Genomic DNA, 14,822 nt, shown 5'->3' with positions numbered 1-14,822 from the left:
TTGTTGGATTTGGCTAAGTCAAAATCTTGTCTTCAAGCTCTGAAGTTATTTCTTCTGCTTGTTCAATTCTATTGTTGAGGCTTTTCAGTGTGTTTTTCTCTGTGTTCTTTATTTCCTAAAGTTATGATTGTTTTATGTATGCTATCTATTTCACTGAAGATTTCTCCCCTCATAACTTGTATTTTTTTTTTTCCTTAAATTGGACTTCAGCTTTTCTGGTGCCTCTTTGATTAGCTTAATAATTGCCCTTCTGAATACTTTCTCAGGTAAATTAGGAGTTTCTTCTTGGTTTGGATCCATTGCTGGTGAGCTAGTGTGATTTTTGGGGGGAGGTGTTAAACAGCCTTGTTTTGTCATATTCCCAGAATCGTTTTCCTGGTTCCTTCTCATTTGGGTAGGCTATGTTAGAGGGAAGATCTGGGGCTCAAGGCTATTGTTCAGATTCTTTTTTCCCATGGGATGTTCCCCTGATGTAGTACTCTTTCCCTTTTCCTAGGGATGTGGCTTTCTGAGAGCCAAACTGTACTGATTGTTATTTCTCATTATCTTGCTTGGCAACTGCCTCAGGGGAGGCCATCACTATTGCCTCAGGCAGCACAGAGTTTACCTCCTCAGACAAAGGTGGAAAGGCTGATGGCAGCATGGGTTAGGGAGGGAATGCTGCCACTACTGGGTGGGGAGGAAGTTGTTTCTTCTGGCAAAAAAAGTTCATTGGAGTTTACAAAGTCAGTGACCCCAGCTTCACCAGTGTCCTCCCATACCTCCCCATTCCAAGTTGCAGGGTCTCATTCTTTTCCAATCTATCAGGGGAACCAGCCCACAATATTTGAACATAGGTTCTTTCTATTTTTCCTAAGTGTCGGCCGGTCTGAGAAATAAAGAGAACGAGTACAAAGACAGAAATTTTACAGCTGGGCCTCTGGGGCTGTCATCACATAGTGGTAGGACTATGATGGTGACCCCGAGCAGCAAAACCAGCAAGTTTTTATTAGGGATTTTAAAAGAGGAGAGGGTGTATGAACAGGGAGTAGGTCACAAGGATCACATGCTTCAAAGGGCAGTAAAGATCACAAGGCAAAGGCAAAATTAGAATTACTGATGAGGGTCTATGTCCTGCTGTGCACACATTGTCTTGATAAACATCTTCACAGGAAACAGGGTTTGAGAACAGAGAACCACTCTGACTAGAATTTACCCGGCTGGAATTTCCCAATCCTAGTAAGCCTGAGGGTACTGCAGGACACCAGGGCGTATTTCAGTCCTTATCTCAACCGCATAAGACAAACACTCCCAGAGAGGCCATCTATAGACCTACCCCCAGGAATGCATTCCTTCCCCAGGGTTCTTCCATGCTGGGAAAAGAATTCAGCAATATTTCTCCTACTTGCACATCCTTCTATAGGCTTTCTGCAAGAAGAAAAATATGGCTCTATTCTGCCCGACCCCGCAGGCAGTCAGACCTTATAGTTATCTTCCATTGTTCCCTGAAAATCACTGATATTCTGTTCTTTTTCCAGGTATACTGATTTCATATTGTTCAAACACACATGTTTTACAATCCATTTGTGCAATAGTAGTCCTGAGGTGAATTACATTCTGAGCTTATGAAGATAACAGGATTAAGAGATTAAAGTAAAGATAGGCATAAGAAACTATAAGAGTGTTAATTGGGGACGTGATAAATGTCCATGAAATCTTCACAATTTATGTTCAGAGATTGCAGTAAAGACAGGCATAAGAAATTATAAAAGTATTAATTTTGGGAAGTGATAAATATCCATGAAATCTTCACAATTTATGTTCTTCTGCCTCAGCTCTGGCCGATCCCTCCATTCAGGGTCCCTGACTTCCTGCAAAACAATCAATGCCCTCACTTTAACAGTAGATACTTGGTGAGGCTGTGCATGGTGAGGCTGTGCATGCACCTTTCATTGCAGGTCAGCCACTAACATGATAAGAGCTTATGTCTATTTTTCCACAATTTCAGTTCTTTCTCTACAGGAGATTAGACTCTCACTCAGGGCAATCTTGGCAGATTTGAGGCTCAGTATCTGCTTCTGAAGCGGTGAGATAGAATCCCCGAGTTCATCATTTTCTTTCATCACTTTATCCACTGAACTTAGGAGCAACCAACCAGCTTCATTATGTTCCTTGGTTCTCCACATATGGTCAAAGGTATGATGTATAGGGTCACTAAACTCCTTGCCTCTCATGAGCAATGAATCAGGAGTGTCAAATGCATTTATTTTGTATAACTCTTTAAACAGTTCACACCAAGGGCTATCAGTCTTCTCCATACTATTAGAAGTAGAGTCCTTAGTATTTTGGGGTCTAATCATATTAAGGCACCAACTCCAGAAACCCCAAAACCAACAAAAGAACTCCATCCTTAATATTCTTTTCCTCTAGAACCACTTCTGGTACCAAAATCTGTATTAGTCAGGGTTCTCTAGAGAAACAGAACTAATGGAATATATATATTTTATAAACTCATATGTATAAGTAATACTTATAAACTCATATATATAAGCATATATATGAGTTTACTAAGTATTAACATATGTATGTGTGTATATATATATACACAACTGTATATATATATACAGTTTATTCAGTATTAACTCACATGATCACAAGGTCCCACAATAGGCCATCTGCAGGCTGAGGTGCAAGGAGAGCCAGTTTGAGTTCCAAAACTGAAGAACCTGGAGTCTGATGTTCAAGTGCAGGAAGCATCCAGTACGGAAGAAAGATCTAGGCTGGGAAGCTAGGCCAGTCTCTCTTTTCATATTTTTCTGCCTGCTTATATTCTAGTCATGCTGGATTAGGTGGTTCCTACCCAGATTAAGGGTGGGTCTGCCTCTCCCAGCCCACCGACTCAAATGTTAATCTCTTTTGACAACACCCTCACAGACACATCCAGGATCAACACTTTGTATCCTTCAATTCAATCAATTGACACTCAGTATTAACCATCACAGTGTCTGACATTTCTGTCTCCTTTTTTTCTATGGAATAAGAATTGAAGATTACTGTACCAGCTCCTGAGCAGAACTACACATTGCCTTTGTACCTGCTGGTCCCTCTCTTTTTCCATAATAAGCTCTTCTTCATTCTTCTGGTCTCACCTCCTCTGAGATTCATCCTTCTCTGACCACCACCCAACTACCAGCCCCCTGTTACCACCTTTTTCCAGCTGCCCTCGTCTCTCCCTGTTGCTGCCATAAAGGTGCCTTTTCCTCTGCCCAGTGTTTCCTCCTAAGACTTGGCAGGTACTGTCTTTCATGGTCCCTAGGAATTTCTGCTTTTCTGTGAGGATTTTTGCTCTTCTCACCAGCTGTGACTCTAAAAGATTGGTGAGGTTATCATGGATTATGACCCCATCAGCCCATTCCTTGAAACAGTGCTCACCTGCCAAGTCCTCTCAGGATGTCTTTCTAGAGAGAGCTTCGTCCACCCTCCTCTCCAGCCAGCAGCTCCAGAACTCCTACAGCCTTGGAAGAGAGCACAGTAACTCAAGCAGACAGCTTCAGAATCCCTGCACTGTCAGAAAGAGAGCTCAGCTAATCATTGACAGTGGATAACTTTGGAGTCTTACAAAGGGTAACAGCAGTCCTCCTAGCCAAGTTTATGGACATTACAACATTAGAGCATTTGAGGTCAACTGGACTTGCACTTTCAATCCAAGGGGCATGAAGCAGGTTTATGCCCAGGACTGACAGAAAATTATTGCTTCAACCCAAGAGAGAGAAATGGAGCTCACATAGGCTTGATGAACACTCCTTTAATTCTTTGTTTTGCTTGGTTCCAGCATACCACTTTTGCCTGGTTTTCCTCTTGCTTTCCTTCTCTTTTGCTGATTCCTCCTCATCTTTATCCACGTTCACTCTGTACATTATCTCATCAAATGTCATAGCTTGGATACCATGTGGCTTGCCAATGGCCCCCACACGTGTGTATCCAACCTGGTTTTCTCTCCTGCATCCTCATCTTCCTGACTTCTCCACCTGGATATCTAACAGGCATCTCAAACATACTTTGTCCAAAGCTAAGAGGTTGATCACATCCTTCCCTGGCCACTCTCATTCCAGGTATGGTTTTATCCATCTCAGCAAATGTCACCCCTATTCCTCTAGTTCTTCCAACATCAAATCTTAGAGATTGCCCTGACTCTTTTCTTTCTCACATGGATGTGAAAAAGCCATCAGATCCACCTGCAGGCTACACTCAGAGTCTGACCCATTCTCTTCCCTGTTCCAACCCAACCCAACACTGTCCAAGTAAGCCCAAAACTCAACAGGGAAAAAAACTCTTTATATCTCTTCATATTTATTTTATTTTGAAATAGCGTCTCACTTTATTGCCCAGGCTGGAGTGCAGTAGTCTGATCACAGCTTATTGCAACCTCAATCTATCGTGCTCAAGCAACCATCCCACCTCAGCCTCCTGAGCAGCTGGGATTACAGGCACATGCCATTATGCCCAGCTAATTTTTTAACGTTTTATAGAGACGTGGTCTCACTATGTTCTCCAGGCTGGTCTTGAACTCCTGAACTTAAGTGATCCTCCCATCATGGCCTCCCAAAGATTACAGGCATGAGCCACCATGCATGGCCAACATTGTCTTATAGCTGGTATCAGCCCATGCTTCAGCTCTCTCAGGCTAGAGTTGCAAATTGGTGATCCTACAGTTCTGTGTCTTGGGGGTGGCCCCACTCCCATGGCTTCATGAGGCATTTCCCTAGAGGGAATTCTTTGTAGAGGATCTTACCACCAAGCATCTATGGCCCCTACATTCTGGGTGCCTGCAGAATTAATACCATTCTGTCTTTGTTAGTCTTCTGGGCCTGTGATGGGAGGAGCAGCCCCAAAGATTTCTGAAATGCCTTTGGAACCTTCTTCCTATTATCCTATTAGCACCAGGCCCCCTTTTGGTCATGCTTTAGCAGAGTTGTTCTGACACTTTCTTGGACTCCTCTCCTGAAAATTCTCTTTTCTTCTCTACCACTATGTGCAGGCTGATAATTATCCAAATTTTAATGCTCTTCTTCCCCTTTAATTATAAACACAGGCTTTAGGTCATTCCTTTGCTGTCACAATTTAACATAAGCTGTTAAAAGTAACCACATCACTTCTTGAGCACTTTGCTGCTTAGATATCTCTTGCATCTGACACCGTAGGTCATCACTCTTAGTTCAGCCTTCCACAAAGCCTTAGGGCATGGACACAGTGCACCCAAGTTCTTTGCTACAGAGTAACATGGGTGAATTTTGCTCCAGCTTCCAATGAGTTTCTCATTTCTATCTGAGATTTTTTGGCATGGCCTGTACTGTCTATATTTCTATCAGCATTGTAAAAAATTTAAATTTAGGACCTTCCAAATTTATCATGCAAAAGGGAAAACTTAAGGCCTGAAAGCTGACTGAGGTAACACAACTTCCCCTGATTCTGGTGCATGACCGTTGCTTTCTGACCTTTGTGTTGAGATGTTATACATTAACCAGACTCTTCTTTATTCAAAACTGCGCTAAACAAAGTGAAGATAGAGACCCTTGTGACTGTCTCCTTTTAATAGAATGTAAAACTATCCCTTTAGCATGTAATCAAAAGTAGCCAATGAAATCTTATATCTGTATGTTAACCTTTTTTATGGAAAATGTTGTAATTTTGTTCAGCAACTTCATTTTGCTGGTATAAGCAATCCTCATTTTCCCCTACACCAGGAGCACAACACTGCTCACCATTCTTTGGAATAGCTGTGCTCCCTGGATGGCCGCACTCATACTTTGTGCTTGAATGAGCTCTTTTAACTAGATGCTGACTCTTTTGACTATTTTACGTTGACAGCATTTTGGTCACAACCATTTAACCAATCTCTAAGAAGTTTCAAACTTTCCCTCAACTCTTTGTCTTCTTCTGAGCCATCCAAACTCTTCCAACCTTTTCCATTGCCCAGTTCCAAAGCTGCTGTCATATTTTCAGGTATCTTTATAGCAATACCCTACTCCCTGGCAACAATTTCCTGTTGTAGTCCATTTTTCATTGCTATAAAGAAATATCTGAGGCTGGGTAATTTATTTCAGAAATGTTTATTAGGCCCATGATTCTGATAGCTGGAAATTTCAAGATTGGGCATCTGCAGCTGGCAAGGGCCTCGGGATGCTTCTATTCATGGTAGAAGGTGAAAGGGAGCTGGCGTGTGCATGGATGACATGGTGAGAGAGGAAGCAAGAGAGATAGTGGGGAGATGCCAGGCTCTTTGCAACAACCAGCTCTTGTGGGGAATAATAGGATTAGGACTCACTCACTCCCTAGGGAGGGCATTAATTTATTCATGAGGGATTCTCCCTCATGACTCAAATACCTCCTGTAAGGTTCCATCTCAAATTTCAATATGAGTTTTATTGAGAGCAAACATCCAAACTGGAGCACCTCAGAACACTTTTCTCCTTGGAAATGTCTGTCCTTATCAAGTAGTCAACAAATATTGACTGAGTGTTACTCTCAGGTAGACACAGAGGTGACCATGACAGATTCATTCCTGTTCAGAAGTGACACAGATAATAACATGTAAAGTAATGAAGTTCATTTTATATACTGTAAAGGATAAGTCAGAGGTCAGATCATGTCACACCTCTGCTCACAACCTACCGGTGAATCTCAGTTTCATGCAAAATTAACTTCAGAGTTTTTACCTCATTATTCAAGGTCTGGTAAGATTTTCACACACTCTCTTCATCTCTGGTTTGATGTCCTGTTCCTTTACCCCCTTATTCACTGCATGTCAACTACAAGGGCTTTCTTCCTGTTCCTTGAAGTCACACTCTGCCTTTAGGGTATCTGCACTTGCTGTTTCCTCTTCTCAGACTGATTTTTCATAGATATCTACATGGATAACTCCCTCTCCTACTTTATTTCCTTGCTAAATATTTTTGTCAACTTCTCAATGAAGCTTACCTTGACCACCTTCTCAAAACGGCAACCCACCTCCAAGTTGGTTCTTCCTCCTCCTCATTACTAGGCACTATTGTCTCTAATACTCACTACCTGCTAACATACTTACTTACTATTTTTGCCTCTCTCTCCTTCCATTAGAATCTAAGCTTCATGAGGGCAGATATTTTTGCTCATTTTGTTCAATGATTTAGCTCAAGGACTTTTAACGGTAGCTAGCACACAGTAAACATTCAGTAAATAGCTGAGAGAATGAATAAGGGCTGTAAAGAAAAGAAAACATGTTGTTATAATGTGTGTGCCTGTGTGAAGTACATAGCTGTGTATGTGAGATAGCCTAAGTGCATGCATGTATGTTTTTGTGTGTGCACATGTGACTGTGGGATGTATGTATAGCTGTTATGTGTGTGCGGTTCTGTGTGTAAAGACATGTGTGTAAGGTTGTGCATGTTTGTGCCCATGTGTGCCTATGTGTCAGTACATGGATGTATGTGAGACTGTGTATGTGTACATGTGTGCAAGTGTGTGTAGAGCTGTATGCGCAGGTGTACAGGTGTTTATGTATACTTACATGCATGCATGTGTGTTGGTAGATTTGGATGTGTGTGAATGTATGTGTGAGACTGTGTATGTAACTATGTGTGTGACTGTCATGTATATGTAGCTCTGTAGTTAAGTGTATGTCTATGTATCTGTTTATGAGTTTGGCATGTGCATAAGATTGTAAGTGTAACTGTGTGTATTCATGTGTGTGAGTGTCTAGAAGTGTGACTAGATATTTGTGTGTGCTTGCATGTGTGAGTGTCTATGTGTGGCAGTGAAACTGCAGATGTGTGTGGCTGTATCTATATTTGTGTGTGTGTGCATGTGTCTGAGTGTGTGTAAGTCCTAAATAGCACTCACACTATTTACAGTGGTCTGAAAACACCTCTCTGGGTGCTCCTTTGCACCTGGCCACTGGGGACACTGCCAAGTCATGATGCTGGACTTTGCTGACTTTCTTTTCCATTCTTTCTGTTTTTCAAATGTTGACCTTTAGACACATTTCAGGACAGCACATTCCTGTGGGAAATCTGTGAGGTGGAAAATCAAAATTCTCCTGATGACTGTTTATAAAGAATAACGGCTAGCTCATGTCTTCAGTGTTTTATAGAAGTGCTCACATGTAATCTAAACAAGAACTCTACAAGAGAGGTATCCAGAGCCACATTTTATAGATAAGGAAATTGAGGCTCAGAGAGGACTAGAAATTTGGCTAAGCTCCTGCAGCTGGTAAGTGCTACAACAGGACTCAAATCTAACTTCAAAGTCCAGTGTCCTTCTCATAGGGAACACCGTGTTTCGGCAAAGAGCCATTTTAAAAGAAAATGGTTTGAAATGGTCACTGTTGGAGGCTGTGCACAATCAGCTGGCCACCTTTGTGTCCCTAGAATCTGACCCACAGTGGGGATTCAATGTTGGGGGAAAATAGAAAAAGTGCTGGAGTTGCTGGGGAAATGCTGGGAGCAGAACTCCGTGGTGGGGGCTCAGAATTTCCCAGGGCAGGGGGTTTTCAGTCAGGAATCATCGCGGGAAAAACAGATTTTCTTTATCACATTCCACCTCTGATTGTCTCAGGAAGTCTTTGGTGGTCTGGCTGGATGGAGCCAAGGTTTTGGAGGCAGCCTGGAGCAAGAGACAATGCCTGAGAATTGCCATCAGAGGACCCATTTTAAATCTCGGCTGTACCACTTACCAAAAGAACACACACACTGACCCACTGTGCCTCAGTTTCCTCCTGTACAAAATGGAGATAAAAATAGCATCTATCTGGTAGGGTCATGGTAAAGCCTGAGTAAGACAATTCTGGAGGCTTCTCAGTTGTCCGGCTGCCAGAGGGGTGGGATGCTGCTCCCCTAAGACTCTTAGATGTGGAGAACAATGCAAAGTGCTAGACTTCTGCAAAGCCTTATGTTTGATCTGAAAAACCTGCTCAAAAGTATCCATGTGCTTCAGGAGATAACTTTGTCTCTGCTTCTCACTTTCAGAGTTGGGGGCTGCATCTGACAAGTGGCCGTGGTTTCAAGTCTCTGGAGTCCCATTTTTTTCTCTTCCATGGAGTTTGTTTGCTGCAGTTTGAGGAGCCGAGGCATATGATAAATACCAGGTACATAATTAGTGCTTTGGAAAGAAACTGCTATTTCAATGGTTATTAGGAGCTTTCACGAGGCAACTCACCCAGAGACCCCTTGCATGAAGGTGGGAAACTCACCAGTCTTCTGGGGTGCAGAATCTTAATGTCCCCTCCAGAAAATGGGGCTGTAGACTGAGTAATAGTAACTAGGAATAACATTTATTGGTTGGGCGCAGTGACTCACACCTGTAATCCCAGCACTTTGGGAGGCCAAGGTGAGTGAATCATCTGAGGTCAGGAGTTCGAGACCAGCCTGGCCAACATAGTGAAACCCCTTCTCTACTAAAAAAAATTTAAAAATTAACTGGGTGTGGTGGTGGGCACCTGTAATCCCAGCTACTCAGGAACCTGAGGCAGGAGAATCGCTTGAACCTGGGAGGTGGAGGTTGCAGTGAGCTGAGACAGCGCCATTGCACTCCAGCCTGGGGGACAAGAGGGAAACTCAATCTCAAAAAAAAAAAACAAACAACAAAAAAAACAAACAACAACAAAAACACATTTATTGAGAGAGCATTTAGTGTGCCACAAACTGTGCAGGTGTTTCGTTCAACCACCTCTATAACCCTAGCAGTTATCTATTATTATCCCCAATTCAGCATGTGGAAACTGAGGCTCAGACAGTTCAAGTCAGCCACCCAAGGAGGTAAGTGGCACCACAAAACCTGAACCCAGGTCTGGTTCACATCACGTCTAGCTCTTAAGCACTCTGCCGATGCCCCAACACCTACATCCTCAGTGTCTGAATTGAAAAATATGAGAAAATGAGAAACAAATGCAGGTTTTGGTGGTATCGGGCCTGGCATTCGAATCCCAGCTCTGCCACTTACAGCTGTGCAAGTTTGGATGAGTGACTCCATCTTTCTGAGCCTCAGATCTCTCTTCTGTAAAATGGGGATCACCAGGCGATTGTTTCTGTCTCAGGGCCTTTGAACCTGCTCTTCTGTCTCTGGGACAGTGTCCTCCCCGACCCCCACATCTGCACAGCTCGCTCCCTCACCTTTCGGTTTGCTCAAACGTGGTCCTCGCAAACCCCTTCCTGGCTACCCTATTTAAAATCCTGCACCACCATTCCGTAGTCCCTATTCACTACTTGTACTTTATTTTCCTCCTTAGCACTGACACTGTCCGACATACTCTAATTTTTAAAATTAGATTTGTGCAAAAGTAATTGCGGTTTTTACCATCAAAAGGAATGGCAAAAACCGCAATTGCTTTTGTACCAACCTAATAGTTCTTTGTTTGTTATCCCTCTTTTCACAAGGTTGCCATTTCCAGAAGTCAGGGGTTTCTGTCTCTTTCATTCACTGCTGTATCCTCAGTGCCTAGAACTGTGCTGGGTACAGAGTAGGAATAGAATCATTTTTTGCTAAATGAAGGGATGAATGAAAGATACCTACTTTATTGCTTTTTGCGGGGCTTAAATGAGATAATGTCTAGTAAGCCCACACTGAAGTTCAACAGTTAAGAAAGAGCTCAACCAGTGGTAGTGGTTTACTATCATCATCATCACCACCACCACCCTCATAATCCTCTTCATTACTGGAAGTGTATAAGGTGAGCTGTGGATTCTCAGGCAGAAACCCTGAAATGAAAGGATCAGTGTTCCCATCTTGGCATATCTTGGACTTCCTTGATTCTCTCCTTACCTTAAAGATGTTGCTTGTGAGGCTGGACACGGTGGCTCACGCCTGTAATCCCAGCACTTTGGGAAGCCTAGGTGGGTGGATCACTTGAGATCAGGAGTTTGAGACCAGTCTGGCCAACATGGTGAAACCCCATCTCTACTAAAAATAAAAAAATTAGCTGGGCATGGTGGCGCATGCCTGTAGTCCCAGCTACTCGGGAGGCTGAGGCAGGAGAATCACTTGAACCCGGGAGGAGGAGGTTGCAGTGAGCCGAGACCATGTCACTTCACTCCAACCTGAGTGACAGAGTGAGACTCCCTCTAAAAAGAAAAAAACCAAAAGTTGTTGCTGTGATTTACCACATTGCACAATAGGAGGTTGGGCCCTTTCTAGCTAAGGATTATTTATCAAAACCAAGATAAAAACTGAAACAAGAAAAATAAAATAAAATTAATAGCTAACATACAAGCGTCATTACCCAATAAAAGCTGACACCACCTCAAATTCTGATGGACATAGTGGATTGGAAGAAGTATGAACTTTGAGAGAAAATCTTTCCAAACATGATGGCAGAATGATAGAAAGGAGTCCACAGCAATGGAAAGGCTGGGGAAAGTAGGTCTAGTATTACACTCCAGCCCCCAATATAGAGATGTGGAAAAAGAGGCCTAGAGAGGGAAAGTCACCTGCCTGTGTACAAGATAGAACTGTTAGGTTTCTATTAAGAATTTTTCAGCACTCAAGAAAATAAACAGATATATTCATTTGGAAAGAAAAAAGAGGTGAACGGTCTTCAGGTGTAATTCTTGCTTGACGCCTCTTCAGCTGCTTATTCCCCTCAATTAGTATCTTATTTTTCATTCATTCATTCATTCATTCATTCATTCAATGACTATTTACTGATACCTACTAGGCAGCAGGTCCTGATATTGGCACTGGGAAGACGGACAAGACTATCATCTAGCCTATGATCTAGAAGAGTCCACAATCTACTAGGAAAGACAGGCAAAACAAACCTAAAATAATAAGCAATAGCAATGAGCTATGACACCCATGAAAGAGAATGTTAAATGGGACTTCCTCTGTTGTCTCAGAATCTTGGCTGAAGCTCCAAGTGGAGACCAGGGTAACAGATAACCACCGTTTAATGAGAGGGTGTTACATGACATGCTCAGAAGTAATCCCAACTTGACTTTGGAGCTTCACTCACCTCCAGCCTGTGTATGACAAAAGGCTGCTGATAAAGCCAGCAGGTGGGCTTGATGGAAGGGAATTGTAACTGCTCAGTGGGTTCGCCTTGCCCACTGCCTAGACAGAGCCGATTTATGAAGTCTCATTCTGTCACCTAGGCTGGAGTGCAGTGGCGTGATCTCAGCTCACTGCAATCTCTGCCTCCCGGGTTCAAGCAATTCTCTTGCCTCAGCCTCCCGAGCAGCTGGAATTACAGGTGCACACCACCACACCCGACTAATTTTTGTATTTTTAGTAGAGACGAGGTTTCACCATGTTGGCCAGGCAGGTCTCGAACTCCTGACCTCTGGTGATCCACCCGCCTCAGCCTCCCAAAGTGCTGGGATTACAGACATCAGCCACTGCACCCAGTCCAGGGACTTTCTTATAGAAGCCTCCCTGATACCCTCAGTCCCCTGAGTCTTGATCAGTTCCTCCAGTCTGTGTCTTAAATGTATTCTTTTCTTCATGGCATTACAATTGTACATTTACTTGCATTATTCTGTGATAAGTAATAATGACCTTCCTACTAGACTAAACTCCACAAGGATTTGGGCTGAAATGTGTTTCCCCAAATTCTTATGTTGAAGTCCTAACCCCAGATACCCCAGTTCCTCCCAGTACCTCAGATTGTGACTGTCTTTGGAGACAAGGTTTTTAAAGAGGTGATTAAGTTAAAGTGAGGTCATGAGGGTGGGCCCTAATCCAATCTGACATGATAGGTGTCCTTAGAAGAAGAGGAGATTGGGCCCCAGACACACATGCACAGAAGAAAGACCACGTGAAGACAGAGGGAGAAGACGGCGATCTACAAACCAAGGAAACATCCTCAGAATGAAACCAACCTTGCCAACCCCTGATCCTAGACCTCCAGCCTCCACAACGGTGAGGACATTAATTTCTGTTGTTTAAATGGCGCAGTCTGTTGTACTTTGTTATGGCAGCCCCAGAAAACTCACATAGGTAGGGACTAGGCTGGCTTTGGTGTATCACTGCAGTCTCAGAGCTCAGTACTGAGTAGGTGCTCACTGAATTTTCCCTGGAGGGTGTGGAGGTGCTGGGGGTGGGGTCAGCAGCACTGGGATTGCTTCAGTTTCCATCTGCTGCTTTTCCTCCAGGGTTGCTCCCAGAACCACCCTTTCCTGTTTGCAGGCCTGAGCTGTGGCTGCACGTCTTTATGCCCCTCCTGGATAAGACATTGTGACGGTTAATGTTAGGTGTCAACTTGACTGGGTTAAGAGTCCCCAGATAGCTGTGAACATTACTTTTGGGTGTCTCTGGGAGGTGTTTCCAGGTGATATTAGAGATAGAGCCATAGACTAAGAAAATCTGCCCTCACCCACGTGGGCAGGCATCATCCAATCCATTAGGGCATGAAGAGGAGAAAAAGGAGAAAAGAGGAATTTGCTCCTTCCTTTTGGGCTAGAACATCTGTGTTTTCTTGTCCTCAGACGGTGAAGCTCCTGGTTCTCGATCCTTTGCACTCGGACAGGGAGTTATAACATTGGCTCTTCTGGTTTTCAGGTCTTTGGACTCAGATGGAATTATACCACGGGGTTTCCTGGGTCTCCAGCATGCAGATGGCAGATTGTGGAACTTCTCAGCCTCCAAAATCGAGTGAGCCAATTCCCATCATAAATCCCCTCTCCTGTGTCTAAATATGTCCTATTGCTTCTCTTTCTCTGGAGAATGCTGACTAATACAGACATAATACAGCAGTCTTTGGGGATGATGTATGAGTATGTGGAGGAAGAACTAGACATGAAGCAGAGTGTGCTTTCTTTAACATAACTTTTTCATTAAAATAGTTGTATGTGCTTCGTACAAAAACTTGGAAAATACAGAAATGTAATGGAAAAAGGAAGAAGAAAAACTACCATCCATTATTTTCTCTCCCTCCCTCCTCAATCTCCAGGAGGATTACAATTAACCACAGTTTTCCCTTTATTTTTCAGAGTTGGGATTCTCCAGTATGAATATTTTTGCTCTGATTTTTAAAATTAATATAGCTTACACTTTTCCCAAGACATACTAAACTGCTCTCAAATATTTTAGTGGCTACATCATATGTAATTGAGTTAATCTACTACAATTTTGTTAATCATTTCCTTGTTGTTTGGATGTTAATTGTTAATTTTTTCTTTTTTTTTTTTAGTTTTAATGCTGTGTGATCATCTTAGTGCACCACACATTTTCTGCATTTTGATTTTTTTCTTTTGTGGTGACTCCCGAAGATAGAATTTCTGAGCTAAAGGATATTTTATTTTATGTTCCTGCATACTTTTGCCAAATGGTTACATACAAAGGATGAAGCCTTTACATTCCCACTGGCAGAAAATGAGTACCCACAAGTGCCCCAAGTCTATGGTAACCTGTCCTATGGAGGGAAATCTGAAAGCTCTTAGTGAGACCAGTGGGCAGATGCTGAGCCTGCCCCCAGACAGAGGGAGAAGTCGAACCACCAAGCATTTGCTAGGCGGCGCAGCATCTATGTGATCAGGGCCAATGATATTCTTTTGCTCTTTCCAGCATTGCCCAGTGATCCTGGGGATGCCGTTTGGAAGCTGCACACCTTTGACATCTTTAGGGTCGAAGAGATGATGCTCCCCATGGGGACTGACCAGTGATCCATTAGTTTCTTGTGGAGTCTTCGGAGGTCTACGGGGCCTTCCTGGGGTGCACCTCATTTCCCCCACTCCTGACTTCGCAATTTACTCCTTTGGATCTTTCCAGAAACCGTCTTTGGCAGTTCTGAAACAAAGGCCACCTAGTGACCAAACACAAAACAAAAAACACTTGGAAATCATCATTTCTCAAAAAGACTTTTGTTTTGAAAGAGA

General features: G+C 43.1%; 2 protein-coding genes and 1 long non-coding RNA gene across 14 annotated transcripts in view; 1 reads left to right on the top strand and 2 right to left on the bottom strand.

Annotated features, from left to right (window-relative positions):
• The window catches only part of ACSM2A (acyl-CoA synthetase medium chain family member 2A), a 36,149-nt gene extending 32,577 nt beyond the window's left edge, over nt 1-3,572 (bottom strand). For 6 of the 9 annotated variants that reach the window (XR_001751833.3, NM_001308172.2, NM_001308169.2 and 3 more), the window contains exon 1: nt 3,412-3,572. The gene's annotated coding sequence lies outside the window, so the exon portion shown is untranslated. Of the gene's footprint in view, nt 1-2,626; nt 3,009-3,411 lie in introns of all 9 variants that reach the window. The other 3 variants (NM_001308954.2, XM_017022923.2, XM_047433591.1) reach the window with 3 other exon arrangements.
• LOC105371119 (uncharacterized) lies at nt 7,814-13,700 on the top strand. 2 transcript variants are annotated; one of them, XR_007065019.1, is made up of 4 exons: nt 7,814-8,226; nt 8,572-9,100; nt 12,705-12,867; nt 13,507-13,700. It is a non-coding gene; the product is annotated as an uncharacterized LOC105371119 (long non-coding RNA). The 2 variants fall into 2 exon arrangements; XR_950898.4 differs by having other exon boundaries at nt 7,822-8,226; nt 8,982-9,100.
• Nucleotides 13,701-13,756: 56 nt separating this feature from the next.
• The window catches only part of ACSM5 (acyl-CoA synthetase medium chain family member 5), a 31,803-nt gene continuing 30,737 nt past the window's right edge, over nt 13,757-14,822 (bottom strand). For 2 of the 3 annotated variants that reach the window (NM_017888.3, NM_001324371.2), the window contains exon 14: nt 13,757-14,749. In NM_017888.3, the coding sequence (NP_060358.2) occupies nt 14,666-14,749 (84 nt within the window). In that variant the 3' untranslated portion in view covers nt 13,757-14,665. The remainder of the gene's footprint in view (nt 14,750-14,822) is intronic. The other variant, NM_001324372.2, reaches the window with a different exon arrangement.

Source organism: Homo sapiens, chromosome 16 (assembly GCF_000001405.40).
Source record: "Homo sapiens chromosome 16, GRCh38.p14 Primary Assembly".
Lineage (NCBI taxonomy): Eukaryota > Metazoa > Chordata > Mammalia > Primates > Hominidae > Homo > Homo sapiens.
The sequence above is the reverse complement of the archived record's forward strand: the minus strand, read 5'-3'. Positions and strand labels throughout refer to the sequence as shown.